A 22985-nucleotide genomic window follows, 5' to 3' on the forward strand; every position below is an offset into this window, starting at 1 on the left:
TGACCACGGGCTCTAGGTATTTTCATTCTTGTGTTTGGGGATTTACTATGATCACACTAAACTAAGCTGTCTTTGTTCTGCAGGTTAGAAAACACATTCTAACCTTCAAATAATGGGTGTGAGGCTGCCATTTCCAAAATATCAGCCTTCATGTCCTGTTTTAAGTAGTACTGAAAAAGCTGACAATGTCGGTATGTCTGAATAAGGATGTTTTTATAATTTTAGAAAGTAAAATGAAATATTTTAACAGGGCCTTCTCATTCAGTTCTGTCTTCAGGCTGGTGTGGTTACAGCAGAGCTGGCCACCAAAATACTTGGAGAAGAAGAATAGAAGAAAACTACTCACAGTCACCTTGCACTCTCTTAGCTAATTATATTTTGCAGAAATTGTCAAGTTCCCTTTCTGTTTTTAGTACTGTCCCGAAGACAACAGGGATTTTTTGGATGTAATCTGTCACAACTTCCCATTGTAAAAGCCCCAAACCATTGTCTTTTCTCTCTTATGAGTCCAAATAATGTAGTCTAGAACTAATAGTAAATGTTTTAATACACAGAAATCTAAAATTGTCTCTATGCCAACATTATTGAGTAAGAAAGCTATGCATGGCTGAGGATTTCATCAACCCTGGGATCACAAAAAGGTGATCACAGAGTGCATAGTCATTCTATTCAGGCAGTTCACCTACCTTAATCTTGTGACTGCACTTTCGCCTGACTCTTCCCCTCCATTCAATTCCAAAAAGCGTTTAAAAGCTAGTAAAACTACTGTCCTCAAATCATTAAGGAAAACTTTCAAAACAAGTGGAAGAAAACATTTGCTTTTACTTTATTGCCAGTGAAAATGTTTTCTTACTCTCCTTTTGGTAAATGCAAATGTCACTGATGATAATATGCCTTTTTGCCAATCAAGTTTCTACTTAGATCTGAATAGGAAGGAAAAGACAGGGAATGTAAAGTTAAAAGCTTAGCAGTCGATGAGAATGCGAGAAATGTCAGGAGTGTGTGCTGTACGGCTGGCAACACAGGTGGCCTTGCCGCTTGCCTGGCATATGGATCACGCTAAATAAGCTACACAGCCTAGCAAAGAATGTCATAGATAACAGTTGTAGTTATAGATTCTGTGAGCAAACTTTGACTATTACTCAGAGTTCATACTTGCTGCATTTCAAAGCTGAGATTGCACATTTATTCTGAAAATTCAGCTGTAATAACTCCATTTCAATGCTCTTGGCCACCTGTGATTGGTAGCTGGGTAGAACTGCGAAATAACGAATTGGTCATGTAGCGGGTAGGTGGTGGGGAGCAATGCAGAGGACTTAACAAATTAAATGTTGGAAACTAACTGCTTTACATAGAAGTGTTCCCCCATATCTAAACTTCCATAGTGCTTTGTATTTTTTATGATACTTTTTATTTTTAAATTACAATTAAACATACTGAGAGAGGACTATCTACTTGGGGGTTATTCAATAAATATTTCTCTAATGAACGATATGAACTCTTTCACAGGAGAGTGGCTTTTTTGTTTGCTTGTTTGTTTTGCGATGGAGTCTTTCTCTGTTGCCCACACTGGAGTGCAGTGGCACAATCTCGGCTTACTGCAACCTCCACTTCCTGAGTTCAAGTGATTCTCCTGCCTCAGCCTCCAGAGTAGCTGGGATTACAAGCATGAAACACCATGCCTGGCTAACTTGTATTTTTGCAGAGATGGGGTTTCACCATGTGGGCCAGGCTGGTCTCAAACTCCTGGCCTCAAGTAATCCGCCTGCCTCGGCCTCCCAAAGTGCTGAGATTACAGGCGTGTGCCACCATGCCTAGCCAGGAGAGTGTTCTTGACCCTAAAAACCTGCCTCTTAATAAATAGAATTGATATGAACAAGCATCAGGGGATCTTGAAAATGAGTCTTAAAACAGGCTACATGGCTGATATTTTGGAAGATTCCTGTCTTTTCCCTCAGATCTTAACAGTACCTGAAATTCTATTAGATCATTCTTCTGTGATGCCTCCTAATTTTCATATTCCAGAAACCCTTGTGAAAACACAGCCAGCTTGACCAAGTTGCTATGGGAACAGATTCATGAGATGGGAAGAGATCCATGAGATATGGGCAGATGAGTAGAGGGGAGGCCGCCACAATGGAAGAAAGGATTCCAAAATGGAAAGCAGCAGATAAATGATGTCTTATTAACAGTTTTTCCCAGTGCCCTCCTCAATAGTATATTTGTTTGAACATGTATAAGCACTTGCCAGGGAAAACATATTTCTTATTGGTCTGCTAGTTAAAATGTTTCAAACACACTTCAGATTTGAGAGTTAATGGGTTATGGTGTAAAAACCGTATACGTGAAATTCCTCATATCTCATGCCTGACATGCTGTGCTATAATTTGTTTCCCATGAAATCTTTTAACAGGGCCTTTAATGAGAAACAGAATCTTCTCGCATTGAGGTGCTATCTTTTCATTTCCTCTGTCCATCCTATTAATTGGATGCAAAGGAACAGTGAGATGGCCAGAGGGCCGAGGAAAAGGATGGAGGAAGGCCCCAAGGCAGCTTAGCAATCTGTTTCTGAATAACTGTTGCGAAATCACTTGAGGTAGGAGAGTCCTAGAGCCATGTTCCTTTAAAGTGAAGGAAGAAGGGAGGGGAAAAAAAAGAGGGAAGATGATGAGTACAAGATGCAGACAGAGCACCAGCTTCACAGGCAGACCACTAAGTGTGGTTACTTGGTGACTGTGGGCTCTAGGTATTTTCATTCTTGTGTTTGGGGATTTACTATGATCACACTAAACTAAGCTTTCTTGGTTCTGCAAGTTAGAAAACACATTCTAACCTTCAAATAATGGGTGTGAGGCTGCCATTTCCAAAAAATCAGCCTTCGTGTCCTGTTTTAAGTAGTACTGAGAAAGCTGACAATGTCATTATATCTGAATAAGGATGTTTTTATAATTTGAGAAAGTAAAATCCTAGGAATGATTTATCTAATTTATGAGAGAATATTTTAAGTGATTAACTATTTCCTTTTATTTACGTGTCAAGTTTTATTACCTGGTTCTAGAAACCAGATGACTCTTCTAAGAAGAATGATTGGATAGGGAGATAGTATTATACATCGGTCCTTGTAGTCAAAAATACAATGAAGCCCATATCAGGTTTTTTTGGTTCTGGTCCAGTGTGGATTTATACAGGGTCCAAAATTTAAAAAGCCCTTGCAGTGAAGCCAGAGGGACCCAACACAGCAAAGTGGTAGAGGTTTGGGCTTCATTTTGTCAAAGCCAGTGATTCATGAAACTGCCCGCTAATATGAAGCTGAACATAGACAGCTCTGGGACACGTTTAGCCATGAACAAGCTGTATATGGTTTGTAAGTGGCAGGTGCCCATCCTAAAGGCAATATGGAAAATAAGCTTTTTATGTTCCTCCAAGAGAACTAAAGTTATGCTCCCACTGTGGGCTCCAGGGGATGCTGACAAGGGGTGTCGCATTTCTTCTAGGCAGTGGGTGTGTGTGTGCTAGGTTTTGAAGGAATAGATTTCCTTCCTATAAACTAACGTTTTCAGAAAAGACAGGCATGCCAAAACCCGTTTATAGCCTAAATAGTCCCCTTCACAAGTGCTGTTTCAAATAGTACTGAAAAAAGTTAACAATGTCAGTACATCTGAATAAGGATGTTTACATAATTTGAGACTGTAAAATCCTAGGAATGATTGTATCTAATTTATTAGTGTCCTTCAAGTGATTAACTATTTCTTTTCAATTATTTGTGAAGTTTTATCGTCTTTTCATTTCCCAAATTGAGAAACTGTCATAGGCTTATCCTGTCAGGAATGAAACTGGAGAATTGAAAACAGGGACTATAACCGACTTTGTTCTCATTTGGCAACAGACAGTCCTCAAGGATCCAGGGCTCTCATACATTTCCAAAAAAAGAATTCTTGCTTTTTTCCAAGAACCAGATAATGAAATAGGTAAAAGGATAATGATGAGGGAAATTTTATTGCCAAATTAATTGGCCTGAAATAATTAATGCACCACTTTTAGAACAAGGCAGACTGGAACTCAGCATGTTTTCAGGTGCCCATGTCCTTCCCTTTCGGGTTTTCCATGCCAGCTTCCTCTCACTGGAAGATACTGGGGGACAGCAGGAACTATATAGTGCTCATCTCTTGCTTAGTCTTTAAAAATGCAGCACTGGCTTACTTTATCCTGTAGGCTGCTTTGCTGTTTGTTGACTACCCAGTGAAATTCAAGTTTGGGGATGAAAGCTTGATGAATGGGTCAAATGCTTATGGTGTGTTCAATTACTGCTCTTGAGGATAAATGGCTTTTCTCTTCTATTTGCATTTAAAGAAGCATATGGAGGGTTGGTTTTGGTCACATAAGAGGCCTTCATTAAATTAGACAATTAAAATGATAGCAGAGATATTAATATTTTTCCATTATGACTATGTTTCAATTCCCTATCTGGTGCTATATAGTAGGATTATACACTGTAATGATGTTTTCCAGTTTATTATAGGCAGCTTAACTTTGTTTTTACTTTTTGTACTGACAAACTACTCAAAAATTTTTTTTTTTTTTTTTTTGAGACGGAGTCTCACCCTGTCACCCAGGCTGGAGTGCAATGGCACCATCTAGGCTCACTGCAACCTCCACCTCCTGGGTTCAAGCAATTCTCCTGCCTCAGCCTCCCAAGTAGCTGGGATTACAGGCGCCTGCCACCACAGCTGACTAATTCTTTGTATTTTTAGTAGAGACGGGATTTCACCATGTTGGCCAGGCTAGTCTTGAACTCCTGACCTCATGATCCACCCTCCTCGGCCTCCCAAAGTGCTGGGATTACAAGCGTGAGCCACCGCACCTGGCCCAGAAGATCTTTTAAAAATACTCTTTTTAGTAGCTAAATTAAAAACAGTGGCCAGGCATGGTAGCTCACATCTATAGTCCTGGCACTTTAAGAGGCCAAGATGGGACAATCACTTGATCTCAGGGAACTCAAGGTGAGCCCTGGCAACATTGTGAGACCCCATATCTACCAAAAATAATTTTTTAAAAAAATTAGCCGGGCATGGTGATGCTCACCTGTGGTCCTAGCTACTTGAGCGGCTGAGATGGGAGGATCACTTGAGCCTGAGAGGTCAAAGCTGCAGTGAGCTATGATCGCACCACTGCACTCCAGCCTGGGTGACAGAGTGAGACCCTATCTTGGAGAAAGAAAAAAAAAAAAGAGTCATATGTAAGTAATGTAAGTAGCAACATTTTTTAAACAGTTAAACTTGCTGCCCTCACGTCACAGGTACAAGTGTTCCCTTCTATTTGAAAGTGTTGGGCAAAAGCCGAAATTCTGAAATTATTGCATGAACCTGGGTTGAAGTGACTTCTTTGCTAAGAATATGGGGCCGCAACTCAAATGCAATCCCCTAGTATATTTTTATATGAAATTTATTCTCACAAGCAGTCACGGGAAGAGCTTACAGCTTGCAAATAGGTAGACTGTCCTCCTGGTACCATGGTTCTGAGTAACTGAAATAAAAGCTTTGTTATCTGGAATTTTGAATGAAAGTGAGGCCCTTACAGACTCAGAACGCTGAGCTGGGCGGACTCCAGCTGGAAGTGCAAGGTGCCCTTGGTAGCTCTTCAGTGTACCTCCCCAGGGCTAAGACAGAGCCTGAGCCCTGTGCCTTCCTTTCCATTGCTGTTATCTAATCTCTTTGTTAACTGATGGAGGATTTAGATGTGCTAGTCCCTAAAATATTTGCATTTGAATACTCAGGGATTTGGGAAGATCTGAAAGCTTTCACAGTCCTAAAGAAAGGGTGGTATCTCTAGCCACTTTTCCTTTTCATAAAATTAGCCCTGTGTTGCAATAATTTATAAAGACCTATAAGGCAGAATTCTATCATGGTTCCTCAATTCTCTACCCCACCTTTATACCTCCAAAAAAGAAAACAGAAGGCTCAATAACTATTTCCAAAAATCCTCAAATCTAAAGTTTTATTATTTTAACAAGGTTATTAGTTTAAAGATGTATTCTGAAAATTAAGATTCTATAAAAAAATTTGCTTTTTAACTCATATACACCATTGTAAGTTGGCCTATGTCTAGCATAGGCCAACTGAAATTGGTAAGGTCAAGATTCAGAAGTTTCCAGTTCTGCCCTGGCTTCTACATAATGCATGGGCTTTTAATTGAAGCCAAGGGATGGTGATAGAGAAGTCTCTGAAAGATAAAATTAATCATGGTAATAAAACAAATCCCCTGGAACTCAGGTGTATAGAAAGCATTTAAGCTCAAGAAAACAAAATTAAATTTAATAAACCATTAGTACTCAATGAACTTACATAGATGAATGTATTCGGCTGTCTTCTCCTAAGCTTTAATCTGCTTGTCCCTGTATTTTACAGTTTATCTGTGCTCACTCAGAGTTCCAAAGGAAAAGATAAAGTTATTGAGTCTATAGGGCTGGGGAAATGAATTGAAGACAAAATAATGCTAAAGTAAATTCCTAAAATTTAGAGATTAGATTGTTTAGGCCAGGCACGACAGCTGAGACTTGTAAACTCAGCACTTTGTGAGGCAAAGGCGGCTGATTACTGGAGGCCAGGAGTTCGAGACCAGCCTGTGCAACATGGCGAAATCCTGTATCTACTAAAAGTACAAAAATTAGCTGGGCATGGTGGCACACACCTGTAATCCCTGCTACTCGGGAGGCTGAAGCATAAGAATTGCTGAAACCTGGGAGGTGGAGGTTGCAGTCAGCCGAGATCATACTACTGCACTCCAGCCTGGGAGACAGAATGAGACTCTGTCTCAAAAATAAAATAATTAATAAAAAATAGAGAGTAGCTCGTTTACATCTGCATATTATATAACATCTTAATGACACTGCAAAAAATAAATCTTAGTTTTCAGAATTACCTCCATTGATCAGAATTTGAAAAGGCTATAACAAAAGGTTCCCTGGAGTCAATGCATAAAAAAGTTAACAATCTGAAGCATCTAAGATGAGGGTAGTAAGCATTCACTTCCTTAAAAATTTGTCAAAGAAAAAAATAGTTTCATTTTCAGGCATCTGTCTGAATATTCAGGATTACTATTTTTGCTAATGTTCTGGTTCCATTAAAAAAAAAAATCAAACACACTCAGGAAATTGCTTAAAATCAACTATTGCTGTGAATTCTGTTTTGTAGTACTGTATTAACAATGTTCCCTGAATGGTGTGTGCATTTACCTGCCGGTGCCCAAATGCACCAGCATTATGATGAAGAGAAATGGGTCACGTAGATTAGGATCCAAATAATTTCACAAGGAGATGAGATGGATACATGGCAAACCAATTTCATAAAATCATAATGCATTTGCACACATGTAAGCAGCAAAATAATTCAACTATCTTTGAGAAGTAACCTATTGCATTGAGATTTTAGGTATATATATATATTGAGATGAAGTCTTGCTCTGTCGCCCAGGTTGGAGTGCAGTGGCGTGATCTTGACTCACTGCAATCCCTGCCTCCTGTGTTCAAGCGATTCTTGTGCTTCAGCCTCCCAAGTAGCTGGGAGTACAGGCACATGCCACCATGCCTAGCTAATTTTTATATTTTTAGAAGAGATGGGGGTTTCACCATGTTGGCCAGGCTGGTCTCAGACTCCTGACCTCAGGTGATCTGCCCACCTCGGCCTCCCAAAGTGCTGGGATTACAGGCATAAGCCACCACGCCGAGCCTATATATTATTCTATTGTAAACAGATAAATGTAGTTTAATAGTGTGAGAAACACACTCACCCGTCCAAACCCAAAGAATAGACTCAGAGGCACAAAGAACAGAGAAAGTAAGACTTTTAATAGCAGTCTTGCAAGATCGGGTGTCTGGTAGGCAGGCATACCCAGGGCAGCTACAGCAGGTAATTTATCTCCTAGTACACAAGTCCCTCCTCCAGTTCCTCATTGGCCAAGTACTATGGGAACAATCTTCCTGGACGTCACCTAAGTTTTATTATCCCCCTTATAAGGTTATACCCTCTCATCTTCCCTGCTTAAGTTTTGATTTCGCAATAATGAAACTTTCTTCCCTGTTACTGGCTGACCCCTCCTCTACATTCTGTTCACTTACTGCGACCTTCTAGGTGCATGAGCTGTGTGGTTTGTTACATTTGTAGTACTTACATTTATAATGCCTTGAAAATGGCATTTAAAATGCCATTTAAATGTTTTCTCACAATAGGATGTCTGTTAACTGCAAAGCTGATTCTACTATTTTTAATAAGGCCAATATATTCTTCTATGTATATATTAAAATTAAATGGAATTTGAGATTTATGTTGTGCTGAATGTGCTTGTGCAAATTCAAAGAATAAATTTAAAATTTGCTTTGGGGAGCACATTTCACTTGCTACAATATGCTCAGAGACCTGTGCCAGGAGAGTTAGGTTTCTGCCTCTTTTGATCATTTAGCTTCGTTTAGCCGTGGGTGCCTATTCCACAAATCAGGACATTTGCAGAACTTTTCAGAACCATGTGACTGGCAGGAGTCATTCTCCAGCCCTTCTCTTTCTTGAGGCAGGTGTACTCACCAATATTTTTAATATTGTGTTGAGACAATGATTCATTAGAAGCCTCAAAACCTAGTTTGTATGCCTCTCTAAAGGTTCTGTTATTGCGTTTTTATGCCCTGGTGTTCCTGTCATGTCTTGAAATGTCAAAGATCCCCAAACATTTACCTAGGATAAAGTTCTCAGAGTGCCTGAGGCAGGACATAGAGCTAGAGATTCAGCAACTTTGGCCATCTAGTTGCTTATTTCAAATGCAGGAAGTTCAGCCTGATCTTCTTTCAAATCACTACTAGCTATGGAAACCTACTTTAGGTTACAAGACAGACAGCAGAGGAGCGAGGTCAGCATGGTGGCCTGCAGGCCACATTTGGCCCACCACCTGCTTGTATACAGCCCATGAGCTAAGGATGGTTTTCGCATTTTTAAATGGTCTGAAAAAAAATCAAAAGAGTAATATTGTGCCACATATGAAATCTGTGTGACAATCAATCAAGTATCAGTGTGCCACATAAAGTTTTATTGGGACACAGCCACGCTCATTCACTTAACATATTGTTTCTGTCTGTTTTTGCAATACCAAGGCAGAGTAGAGTAGCAGCAACACGGACCACATGTGGCCCCGAAAACCAAAAACATTGACTATCTGGTCATTTACAGAGAAAGTTTGTCAACCCCTGGTATAGAATAGAGTGTTAACTTTTAAGGTAGTAGGCTCACAAAGATTCTAGTCATTCCCATAGGGCAAAAGTTCATCGTTGTTTGATAGCAAATACAAAATGTAACTATAAATCCTTAATAAGGAGAAAGTACTGCTGCTTTTTTGTTGTAGCTGTTGTTTTTGAAACAACAATAGAGATCATAAAGAATCATTTACCCATGCTAGAAACAAAAGAATGTCCATGGTCATCATTCTCATGATGGACATAAAAGAAGATTGTCACACAGGTGACCCAGAGTCCACTCAGGCCTCGTCTCTCCATTTGCCTCTCTCCCAGCTGTTCCTTCAGTGTGCCTTCTACCTGGGTTTTGGTGACAGTGTTTATAGGAAGATATTGCAACTTTCCCTACAAACATCTCTACATGACAAGGAACAAGTGCCAATATTCAAAACAAAGTTGTTCGGTTTTTTTGTTTGTTTGTCTTTTTTTGAGACAGGGTCTCACTCTGCTGCCCAGCCTGGAATGCAGTGGTACAATCATAGCTCTCTGCAGCTTTGAACTCCTGGGCTTATGTGATCCTCCTACTGGAACCTCCTGAGTAGCTGGGACTACAGGTGTGCACCACTGCACCCTGGCTAATTTATTTTATTTTTGTGGAGACAGAAGTCTTGCTATGTTTTCCAGGCTGGTCTTGAACTCCTGGCCTCAAGTGATCCTCCCGCCTGGGCCACCACACTCAGCCAAAACAAATTTCTTAAATAAGAGGAACTAAGATCCCTTCAACTACTTAAGCAAGATTTGCTTTGCCATTTCTATTAGTATAGCAATGAATAACCATTAAAGAAAAAAGAAAAGGAGGAAGGAAAGAAAAACAAAAAGAAAAACTAGAGAGAATGTTTTTAAGCCGGCCTTTTCTATTTCACAATTAAAGATGTCTATTAGTGGAACATACTTGTAGTGCTGTTTGGCAACCAACTGACTGTAAACAGGATCTTAAGACCTTTGAATAAAACAGCACTTTATTCACTCAGAATTGCTGTGTGTGTGTGTGTGTGTGTGCGTGCATGCATCTGTGGCTCTTATAAATGGCAACGCGTCCTTAAAAGCTTGTCTGTAGTCTGAATGCTCCACTCTACATCAGTCGTCTTTGTGACCATAAGCTGGGTGTGGTAAGGGAAAGTAATACCATCCTCAAAATAGGAAATACTTGGCTGGCTCTGGAAAATCTTTTCAACTCATCAGAATTTTACCAGAGATGACATTTCTATCCTTACTGTAAAAGTCCCTATGAAGAACAGTGACCTGTAATCTTTTGTGTTGTCTTTGTCTTCGTCATAGAAAAGTTACTGTCCTAAAGCTTACCATGCTTTTACTGAAGACAGCATGCCATCTTAAAAAGCACTGTAGGAATCAATTACTTGGCTGAAGAATGTTGAATAAACACCTATCATAGTATTATCATAAGTGCTGTAGCAGTTTCAGAAAATCAGTAGATATGATCCTTACCCTTCAGGTGTTTGTGGTCAAATTGGGAAGGCAGAAAACACACACACGCACACACACACACACACACACGAAATAGATAAGCATCTTATTCACATGAAAGTTAAGTACAAACATAAAAAGAGTTCAGAGAAGACATAAATCATTCTGGGAAAAGAGGAGATGAGAATTGAACCATTGGACACAGCCAAACACCACTGGGATTTCGAACCATTGAGACACACACAAAAAACTGAACCATTTTTTCCCGAGACAAATCTACCCTTGTTCGTTCTTCCTCTTTCTTGCCCCTTGTAGTAGAGAGGTATCAATGAGCATAATTAAACTTGTCTATTTGTGGGTGTGTATGATCTTGATAAAGAGGAGAAAGGGACGAAGTGGACCTTTCTAGTGAACTGAATGGATTAAATTAAAGCAAGAAGCAAAGTGTTACCTAACTCAGGGTCAGTGGCTCAAAGAGCAAAATAAGACTGAGTGGGAGAAAAGACTATATATATATATATATATATATATATATATATATATATATATATATATATGAGATAGGGATATCCATATCTAGCTATGGATATTTATATCAATATCCATAGCTAGATCAAGGCCAGACCAAGGAAGTCATTGAAGACAACTAGAGTAGATATTTCATGACTGAGGAACTAGAATGCAGAGTATATTCGAGTTTTGAAAAACTAAAGATTTTGCTGTGATTTAGACCATAAAGTGACAGAGTATAAATTAGGTATAGGTAGTAAACATGGAGAGCAACGGAGAAGCTGATGAGTACGTTAAAAAGAAAAAAAATATAAAAGGAAGAATCAAAAACAAATGGTCTAGTGTGAGAGATTAGAAAGATGGTTATAAATACTGGGATACTTGTTCTAGTTAGAAGAAGGACCAGTTTGGAGGCACGGAGACACCAGTTTCTGATGCATTGCGTTTGTGGAGCTAGAGGCATCTGTAACTGGAACAATCCCAAGGCCATTTAGAGATCTGTAATTAGCTCACATTAACTTAAAGATTGGAGGTATAGATTTACAATACTATCTATGTTGTTTGATAACTACTCCATTTAGCATATAAGCCCACTGAGGAAGGAAAGAACAACAAGAAATCAAAGGTAAAACCTTGAAAGCTCTTATGTTTGCCAAAGTAGAGAGGGGTCAAATATTTTGAAAAAATAGGAATGAGTGAAAGTATGACATAAACTAATGAAATAGAGCATGTCAAGGGGATAGTCAAGAAGAAAACACACACACACACACACACACACACACACACACACAGAGTTCAAGGAAAGTGAGGACCCAAAAGACTTGGGGCCAAACATGGTGTCTCATACTTGTAATCCCAACATTTTGGGAGGCTGAGGCAAGAGGATCACTTAAGCCCAGGAGGTCAAGGCTGCAGTGAGCTGTGACTGTGCCATTGCACTCCAGCCTGGGTGACAGAGCAAGACCCTGTATCTAAAACAAACAAGAAAGACAAAACAAGACTTGGGAGATAAGGTTATTGGTAACATTCCACAGCACAGTTTCAACTGAGTGCTGGGATACAAATTAGACTGCCCCAGACCTGCCTTACTATAGCTTTTTATCCCTACTATAATAACATCTATTAAAATTCATTTTTAATTCTCTTATGGTGATCAGTGTTTATTCCTTTATTTTCATGTTTCGTTTTGTTCTTTGTGTTTAACTCTCTCCATCTAGGAATTTATCTTATTTCGCTACACAAAGTAGCCCATCTGCTGTCATTTTGAACCTGTGGGAAGCTCGTCATCAGCATGATGGTGATCTTGACTCCCTGGCCTGTGCCCTTGAAGAGATTGGGAGGACACACACGAAACTCTCAAACATTTCAGAATCCCAGCTTGATGAAGCCGACTTCAACTACAGCAGGCAAAATGGACTCTAGTCCACTTCCTCCCATGAGACAGAGTGATGGCCAGCTTGGGGACATTTGCTTTAAATGGGAAAGAGGCCGCTTTCTGCCCAGTGGCGTTGGGGGAATTCAGCCTTCATTTATAATCAGTGAGATTCCCCTGTTGAAGAAACTAAATTTTATATAGGTAAAACATGTTAATAGGGAAGAGTACAAGCTCTCTTACATATAAGAGGGCTCTACTATCTCCTTGGAATCCACATTTGGGTTAACTCCTCAGATTTGGAGTGGCAAGGATAAAAGTGAGGGCAGAAGTAGCTGTGGGAAAAGATGAGCTATGATAATGCTGGGAAGGCAGAGATTGATTAAGTGCATGCTTTGAAATAGGTTTTTAATGATGTGCCCCAAAGGGCCAGCTGATTCTGGTACTAGATTGTCAGAGTTTTCTACCAACTGGCATCTGTGATGTCAGAGATCATTGTAAAAATGGCTTTTAGACGTGAAACAGGGTTGCCAACCCATTTGTATGACTTCAACAACGTCAAGGAGGGCATTTAGAATTTAGAATCTGAGCACATCACACCAGCACCAGCTCCCTGTCTCTTCTAGCCACTTAATGGAGACACAATGGAGAGGTAAGACAGACCACAAACTAGTTCTTATAGTGTACTCCACCTTTTACTTTTTTCCTGAGACAAATCTACCCTTATTCTTTCTTCCTCTTCCTTACCCCTTGCAGTAGGGAGGTATCAAGGAGCATAATTAAACTTGTCAATACGGAAAGTTGTTTTTTCTAACACAACAAAGTGGGACCATCTCTATTCCCATCTAAGCCACTCAAATTGCTGAGTGCTATTAGAACACAGCTTATTACATGGATATGGGGACAGGAGAGATTAAAGCAGGTTCAAAAACACATGAACTGCAGATGCCATAGGCCTCAAATCAGCTGTAATTCTAGGAGACACGTGTTGATCTAGTTATCTAACATTGTTGTTATAAGAAAATGAGTTTACTGCATTTTTCAATCCAGATTCTTGAAATTGTCTAACATGTGGGTACTGTGTCATCACAAAATCTCTCAGTAAGGCTATATGTGATCCTCATTTTGCCTCTTGGGAAATTAGCAGATAGTCTTTGCTCTAAATGATATCTGAGTAAATAGACTTGAGGAATCCTCTACCACAGTGTCCCTGAAACCACATGCATCATTCAGGAAGCCTTCACCCTGTGACTATTCAGCCTCCCTGAATATGCTTTCTCTATAGAACCACTAACATATGGCTATTGCTCTATGATTTTTTTTTTTACATTAGGAGGCAGTGATATTGTGGAAGATTGAAATCCACAGATAATTCATGACCCTCATCTTATCACTTTACTCCATCTTTTTATCCTATTAAATTATTTTTGACAAGATGTCCTGGTAGACTAAAGGTGAACAGATTTGCTCTTGCTCATCTTCTGGTGGATATTTTAACTTGCTATTCACAATCAGGACAACCAAAGTCAAGGACCCAGATGAACCACAAGGCAGCTAGTCAGCTACTTAGAGGTTGGTTACATTCGAATAAAAAGTAGTCAGGGAATGGGGGAGGTGGGGAGTTGGGGAGTACTTGGCAGTTGGGATATGATCCATTTTTTTAAACAAGTTTTTTGTAGATCCCTTGTAAAATAATAATAATAATGTTGTGAATCTCCATGCCAAGTGAAAAAGGCCTAAAGATGAGTTGAATTTGTGATACCATGGGTAAGGCATGGAAGAACTCTTGAATGTGTTGGCCATTTTCTCTAACTAACATGTGGTATGTATGGTCCCCTATATTAGATAGAAGTCTTTGCTACATGTAATTCAAAAGCATCTCGCTTTTCTCAGGAACCAAAGGCTTATGATGTAGGACAAAGAAATCATCTTAGAACTGTCAAGCATATTTTCACAATACCATGTCAAGATCAGGAAAACACCCTTTTGCTAGTGTGCTTAACTTATTTATTTCTTCTAGGAAACAATAGATAAACAGCATGAAAATGTAAATCATCTGGCATCACTGATAGAATTTCTGAAAGAGAAAGAGAAGTAGATGGTCAACCAGTCACTAGTTGGTTGGCATGAGGTGGTGTGCAGAGGAAAGCTGCATTCACTATTGAGTAAAAACTTGTAGAAAGCACATTATAGAGCTTATGTTGGAATCCATCTTGGAGGATTTTTGTTTTAAACTGTCTTTAGCATTTTCCCTCTTCCCTTCTAATGGGCATTATAATTGTTTCATCTACTCTGTGAATCTACATAGGTCTTTTTTTTTAGATGTTTGATACATTTTAAGTATTTTTAAATAGATGAAAATTCTAAATGATTTTCCCTCAAATCTATCTAGATTATTTTAAGATGAGACAAGATTATTGTCAATCCCTGAATGTCTGGAGTTACCTCCCATGGATTTTTTTTTCCTTTGGCCTGGGTTTTATAAACAACTTGAACATCATATCATATAGGATAACAAAGGAGGAAGTTAACTTAATTCACCTCAGACTTCAGCCTAAGATTCAATCAAATTCATCCTTCAGCCTGTCTTGTTTCTTCTTTATGTTTCTTTTACTTATTGCTGCTAGGATCCTACATAGGATTTCTATAGAAATGTATGAAATTCTGTGGTCACTGCATGTCAGGATTGCACAGTATGTTACAATACAATTTCAAAGAGAACCCACATTTGTGAGATTTACAGACCAAGGTGTGGTGGAGGAGGTAGAATTGCAGATCAGATAAAAAGTGAGCTTACACTTGAACTTAGTTATTCACTGTGACCTAAATTTAGTCCTATTGTAATATGTGCCTGTCACAACACAAATACCCCTCTTGAAAGAGATTTACTCATCTATCCAAGCACTTAATTTGGAAATTTTATTGTCCTATTGCAAAATGAAACAAAATTAAAAGTGGCCTCGAGTACTTGGTAAGTTACTTAAAATTTTTACAAAAATATCCCACTCAATGCCAAATCTTTCAGTCCTCAAAGGCATTTAAGTCCAATAGTCATGCTTTAAATATGGCTTTAAATTATGCCACCAAAATGGTGCACTTCACAGATTCACCAGACTGTAGCATCATAAAGTTAATTTACAGTTTTTACAACATTGCTTCTACATTCTTACTGGTTTACATTAAAATCCTTTAAGCCAAAAGGAAGCTTGCTCTATGGATTTAAATGCAAACTTCATTTACCAGTGCAGGAAGTCTCATAAAACTCAGATGTACTCCCACAAAAATTTTATTGGCCTTTTTGTAAGAGATGAAAAAGAATTGACACAGTTCTCTTTAAAGAGAAGAACTTTTTTATTATTATTTTTATCTCCAACTGCAGGTGGTGTCTTTTGCCAAGGTCTCTGTATTTTTCTTTCAGTTGTCTTTGGGAGGGGATGTTAAGTCAAATCACTAAAACAGGGTTCTCTTTGGATTAAAAGTTCTGGATTTATTGCAACTATTTTCCTTGAGAAACATTCTCAGCATCAGGATTGATAAACAAATGTAGATGATTAAAATAGGATAATTGGTTTTAGATAATATCTTCTACTGCCAAACTTCTGGCAAATTTACCTGTGAATTTCAAAATGTTATAAAATCTCTTGATATGCTTTTGTTTTTCCTTTTAGCCATTTTCTCTTCAATTTCTTAGTCCCTCTGCCCTCTGTAAATGTGTTGAGTGATATAGCTATCAGATGTATTGAAGGCAAAGTTCTCGCAGAGGTCTCTGTTCCAGCTCTGTAAAGGTCACAGGAATCGTGAAGGAGCTGAGAAATCTTCCTCTCCGGCCCACTGTCTGTGGCCCATTGTCATTGTTTCCTCATGAAACATTGCAGAGTTTGAATCCTCAGTAACTCTCATTGACTGGATTAGAGGTGATGGCCACAGCAAATGGGAGAGCAAAATGTTGGCCTACAGAGAATGACACAATTTTATTCGCCTTTGGTGTTAGTTGCCATAGTGCTGTATTTGAAAATCGATGCTTTAGCCAAAAGCTGAATGACCACCGTTTCCGTAGTTTCCACTGTTTTGTCTGCATAGAATTTTCCTGAACTACAAGCAAAAATGTATTTTGTCCAATGTCACAAAAGTGAAAATGTTACTAATCTTAGATGTGTTGCATATTTTGTGTTTTTACGTTCCAAACTCTTTCAAAAGCTGCCGTTACAAAGCTGTTTGGCTGTATTGACAGCATGTGGTGTTTTTACAAAAGCAATTCTAGGAGAGCCAGTGTCTACCATGAACTCCTGACATCCCCACTCCAGGGTCATTCATGACATTGAAATGGCAACTTGTACACTGTAATTCTTCGAAAAGTAACAGGGGATGGAAATCAGACCTGGCCGTTAGTCACTAGTGTGTAGTACCGTGATCTGAAGTAGGAAATTTAACTGACATAGAATAATTGTGGTTTTTGAAGCAGCTACTCATTGCTTTTTCCTTTTGCTGTGAAGATCATGGATTGGGAATGTCCTCGTGAGGTGGACCTAAGGCAGTAACATTTAAACTTCATGTCCTAGCACCCGCCCTCCATCTGACCCAAAGATAAAAAAGGCATCAAGCTTCATGGTTATGCCTAAGCTTAAAAATTCCCTTCCCCACTACTAATATTGAGTTCAGCAGGGCCCCATCTTACTTATTTTTCAAAAAAGTTATAGCTTTGAATTATAGACTATATTACTAAATTTGGTAAGGTAGTTCTTTGCATGAATGGGAATGTGTGTCAAAATACTTTCACAAAAGGCATGATTACAATGGAAATGCCCCTTTGCCTCCAGTTTTGCTAACCCTAAAAAGTATTTCACTAATTTCAAGCACTGTTTACACTCAAATCCCAAAATTGGCCAAATTATATAATTCTCTTAAATTTTCATTTCTGTAGGTGGAGATTTAACTATGGTTCTGGTGAATCATAGAAGGGAGAGACAATATTTGAGGGGAGTTTATCAGCAGAATATCATGCCTTATGACCCCATTACTGAAACACAGACATTACAATCAGAAATAGACCTAATAATTCCAATATCCCTCCATTAACTAGTTCCAGTGATGCTGAGAGACACAGCACCCTGTGCCAGGTATCAGAAATATAAGCCTCAGCAGAGGGTAACTGAAAACTTTCAATCAGAAACACTCTCCAAGGCTTATGGCTAGATTATGTAGGTCACTACCATTCAAAACTTTTCTATACAAAGGTGGAAAAGCACTCAGAATCTGGGAATTTTCTGGTTGGAAGAACAATGTTCTCCTTTTCCAAATTGGAATAAAGACTCAGAATTACCCATTCTTCATAATCATGTCTGATTGGTACATACACTCCAGGAAGTCTCAACCTAGAAACATTTCCAACCTAAGCATTTAAAGGAAAACTGGCTCATTCTTCTGACCCAAACTCAAAAAATATGAGTACTTGCGTACCTCCATTTCTGCATGAAGATTTTAAAACAGATTTCATTTTTTTCTGTTTATTTTGGGAAGGTGCGTGGGGGTGTTCTTTCAAGTGATTCACATCTCAAACCCATACCACTCTCAACTTTTATTTGATGTGTTCAAAGCCAAAAAATAAAATAAAATAAAGCAGGGCTGAACACTTAATTTGACATGAAGCTGAAGGACTGAGCAAGCCAGAGGAGAGAGGTTGAATGAAGCATAGCCTTGGCTTCATACCACACTTTTTGTGCCTTGTATTATCAATGTAAATTCTGAATGTTGTACAGTAAACTTGGATGGACTTCTTAGAAAAGGCTGCACTGGCTTCTTTTTCAGCACATGTACATATCTATAAATATATATACATATATATTTGGTAATGCCAAACAGCTCTGTTATATTGTATTGAACAAAATGGACGGTTTGGATGTTTTATGTCGAGTTTGCAAAAAAAAAAAAAAAAAAAAAAACTGGATGGTTGCAGACTTTTCAAGATAAATGTACAGACGTAAATTACTGCATATCAGTTATTTATGAATAAAGAGTCTTTTATTGACATTTTAGGATACTACATGAGTGGCACTTTGAAATCTCGATGAGGATGAGATTTGTATACCTCCTGCCATGTCCTAGCAGGAGATGGAATGCTCTCCGAAAGGACAATTTCCAAATACCTGTTAACATATGGAACCAAATTTCTTGCTCAAGCCTTGAGAGTGAGGCAGTGTTGTGAGGCTACTGGAAGCAAGAAGATTGTCTTCTAACATTCCCACCCCAGCCAGTAACCATACACACACACACACACACACACACACACACTTCCTTAGGATATAGTTTCATACAATCCAAGGTCATCATAGCCATACCATAACTGGAATACTGGAATACCAATCACCTTATTCCTCAAAATGCTTGGGCTATTTTTCCAGACTGTACAGAACATTTTCTGCCCTTCTGTGGGAAAATGTTAATAGTTACATTGTTGTACATTCCAAAGACATGTGGCTGATTAAACCTGCTTTAAGAGGTTTTAAAATGCTGAGAGCTCCCCCAAATTTACTCATAACTACTTAGAGAACAGGCCAGAGCCAGTTGAACTAGAATGTTCCACCCAAAGATGGCTTCTGGTCTATTTAAACTAGTTAGTTATAATTTTTAAAAAGGTCAAAAGTTGATTTAAACCGGTTTTTTAAAAAATACCATTTCCATATAAAAACATTTATTTTTTCAAATTAAGTTTTAAAAGCTATGAAGTAAAATGAAATATTCTCTACACTACGCTTTTGAAAACCTTTATGTATATGATGGCCAGGCGCCATGGCACATGCCTGTAATCCCAGCAGTTTGGGAGACCAAGGCAGGCAGATTACTTGAGGTCAGGAGTTCAAGACCAGCCTGGCCAACATGGTGAAGCCTCGTCTCTACTAAAAAAAAAAAAATACAAAAATTAGCTGGCCGTGGTGGCACATGCCTGTAATCCCAGCTACTTGGGAGGCTGAAGCAGGAGAATCACCTGACCCAGGAGGCAGAGGTTGCAGTGAGGCAAGATCATGCCACTGCACTGCAGCCTGGGTGACAGAGTGAGACTCCATCTCAGAAAAGAAAACATTTATGTATATGATAGATCTGAAGGAGGGGAGTCTATGCAGCACTTCCTAAGCCCTGTTGACCATGTAATTCTTTTTCTTATGGGACTACAGCGACAGATAAGAATATCCACAAAGAGGCTGTGTGTGGTTCCAACAGTTCTTTCTGACCACTTTAAATTAGGCAGAGCTTTAATGCTAATTAAAATATACTTAATATACAGGCCTAATGAAAATTAGTTGAAATTGACTTAAACGAGGTAAATCAGTTATAGCTATGCAACACCAGACCCAAAATCTCAGAATTATTTGAATAGTTAGAGCAAATAAATCCAATTTGAGTTCCTCAAAATAGATTTTAACTAGAAGAATCATGTGGCCAGCATAAAGATCTGGATGTAACTAGTTCATCTGGATGAAACTAGTTCATCTGGATGAAAATGTAACAGATTGGCTTGAACCTGTAATAAACTATTAAAAAAAATTTGAATCTTCATTTAAAAGCTGCTTTATTGAGTTAGGAACTAATTCTGAATGGATTAAGTTAGTTTGGATGAATTAATGCTTTTTTTATATAGTGAACATTTGTTAGAATTTGATTTTATTCTGACAGGGGTTAACTCATTCACTCAAAAAATAGTTATGTAGCATTTTCTCCATGACAGCAGAGTCTGGGTTCAAGTCCTGACTCAATCATTTTGCACTTGATGTCAGGCAAGATACTTAACATTTCTGCTTCATTTATAATATAGGGATAAGAAGAGAATTGTATATTCTCCCCAAAGTCTAAAGATTACATGAAAGGGTTCATGTAAAGCCCTTAGCACACTCCATGGTCCTTAGTAAACAGTCAGTGAGGGCTTACTTTCATCTTATTTTAGAGAGGTGGTATGCATAGTAGTTAGCAGAATGAGTTCGGGAGCAGATAGGCTTGGATGGGAATCCTGAGTCTGTCCCACTTTGGATTTGTGACCTTGGCCAAGAGACTGTCTCTAAAAGATGACAATCATATCCAGTTCACTGGGCATAAAGTAAGTGTTCAAGAACTATTTTAACCATAAACACATCTACAACTGTTTCTGGCTAGTTGGGCTTCTGAATAGAGACATCCTGGAGCATTCGTTGTATACACATAGTGAGGTTACAGCAGGACCAATAATGTACTCAATGTTAGTATCTTTCTGATACCTAAAATTTATTTAAGAAAAAAAAAACATGTCTTACTGTCGCTGAATTAAGTGAAATGCAACTTATTTTCTAATATAAAGGTTAATGCTTCATAAAGTGAGTTAAAAATACTCTAGTAAGGTCCCATATTTTTATACCACATAAGATGATTTTAGGAAAGAACTTAGAGTTGATGATGAGGCAAATGCATGTTTAAGGCATATCTAAGACAAATCACATTTTGTCTAAATGTTAGTGTTCCTGCATAAAGTAAGTGCTCCACCAATGAGACGATCCATTCTCTGGTTTTCAGATGACACCAGGGCCTTAAAACCATGAGTTTTTGCACAAATTAAATGTTAAAGAGTTATGCAAGCACTATCATCTGCTATGTGCTAGACCTCTCTGCTACAATCAGACATTCACAATTAAGACATTAACCCAGCCTTCAAGAAGCTCACTATCTCCAACTCAAGAGATTATTACACCATCCAACAAAAAGTGTTAGGAAAAAGGGAAGCACCACTGTTAAGATAAAACAAAGGAGGAACACTGAAACCAGATTGTGTTGTGTGAGGGAAAGTTCCATGGAGAAGCTGCCATTGAGCTAAGACCTAAAGGTGGTCTATTAATAAAGCGACTTCTAGAATAACAGAGTACAACAAACCCTAGAATTTATGGCTTCAAATAACACCCATATATTATTCACATAAATGTATGGTTCAGCTGGGAGGTCCTCATGATCTAAACCTGGCACGGTTGACCTCAGCTGGATTCAGGCATGTAACTGCAATTAATTAAAAGATTGAGCTGGGCTAGCTCTTCCAGATTAGGCTCCTTCTACATTTGGGGCCTTGGTTAGGACAACAGGATGGACTACACTCTGCTCCTTGTGCCTCATGGTCCAATAGGCTAGGCTGGACATGTTCTCATGGTAAAGGCAGAAAAAGAGATGTGTGGAGTCTCTTGTGAAGCCTACACTTGGAATATCATCATTTTTTTCGCAATATTCTAATGGCTAACACCACCCACAAGACCTGCCCGTTCAAGGGATAAGGAAATAGAATCCACCTCTAGATGAGAATTGCTGGAAAATCACATTGTAAAGGGTGTGGATACATGAAGGGATAGAGAACTGGGACCATGGTTTCAATTTCTTCATCAGAGATGAGTAAGAATTTGTCAGGCAAAAAATAAAAGAGGAAGAACATTCAAACAGAAAGATTAGCATTGGCAATTAATAAAGATTTTATTTAAGAGAGGCAGCCAGACTATTTTCATGCCTCTAGTCCTTACAACCCTGAGTCTTCTACAGTAGCACTCCCCAAACTTCTCTTCTGTGTTGTTAGGTTCTGATCAGACATGATTAGCCATGTTTAGAAAAGGATGAGTTAATTTCATTTACAGAGGTTTCTTTATTGTGCGATCTCTCAAAGGCTTTAACACAATAATGGTAGTTATTTTCAGTGCAGTCAATATTCTAGACACTTTATATGAATTCACTCATTTTACTCCCCTAGTAATCACATGAAGGCAGTACAATTATTGCTCATATTTTGTAAAGGGAGAAACTGAGGAAAAGAGAAGTTTATGTGCATTTTTAATCACTCCACTGCAGCTACTGTTTGTAGCATTTTCCAAGTATTTATCATCGCCTAACTCTTACTTAATGAGCTGTAGTAACATCTCAGAGTTCACATTTTGGTGTATATTTTCTCTAAAGATATATGAGATAAAGTGTGTGCTCCATGCTAAATTAATTTAGTCCAGATTTTCTTACATTTGTTATCTATCCACCCATTTCTCTGCAATTTACAAAATTTCATATTTTTAAACATATAAGCCCCTAGCAACCTTTTTAACATTATAATTCTTGCCTGTGAATGCTTGATTTAACCATGTTTCTTTGTAACTCATTAGAAATACATCCTTAAAACTGTAAGAATTAGTTATATTTTTGCTAAACCTTATAAAGACTACTTCTTTAAAAAGTTGGAGGCATGTTTATAAGCGATTAAGTAACTGGTATCAGGTCATTGCAATTTTGCTCTAAGCTCAGAGCAAAATTCAATGTGTCATTTCTTCAAAAGGAATGTTAGGTGTCCAGCCATCTGAAAGATGCTGTGCAGCTAAGTGGGAAAAGCCTGAAATAGGAAGAGAAGACATGTGTTCTAATCTCAGCTCT

The 22985-nt window shown here is 38.5% G+C and overlaps 1 protein-coding gene across 17 annotated transcripts in view, besides 1 other annotated feature; it reads left to right on the forward strand.

Annotated features, from left to right (window-relative positions):
* Positions 1-18605, forward strand: part of UNC5D (unc-5 netrin receptor D) — a 561066-nt gene extending 542461 nt beyond the window's left edge. For all 17 annotated transcript variants that reach the window (NM_001438417.1, NM_001438418.1, NM_080872.4 and 14 more), the window contains one exon: positions 12424-18605. In NM_001438417.1, coding sequence (NP_001425346.1) covers positions 12424-12628 — 205 coding nt within the window. In that variant the 3' untranslated portion in view covers positions 12629-18605. The remainder of the gene's footprint in view (positions 1-12423) is intronic.
* Positions 5400-6045: an enhancer, noted in NCBI's record as "OCT4-NANOG hESC enhancer chr8:35640853-35641498 (GRCh37/hg19 assembly coordinates)". NCBI's record gives its function as "activates a minimal SCP1, AML or CMV promoter by ChIP-STARR-seq in naive H9 embryonic stem cells {active_cell/tissue: H9 hESC(naive)}" and the evidence as "EXISTENCE:reporter gene assay evidence [ECO:0000049][PMID:30033119]".
* Positions 18606-22985: the final 4380 nt, after the last annotated feature.

Source organism: Homo sapiens, chromosome 8, assembly GCF_000001405.40.
Source record: "Homo sapiens chromosome 8, GRCh38.p14 Primary Assembly".
NCBI classification, from domain to species: Eukaryota; Metazoa; Chordata; class Mammalia; order Primates; family Hominidae; genus Homo; species Homo sapiens.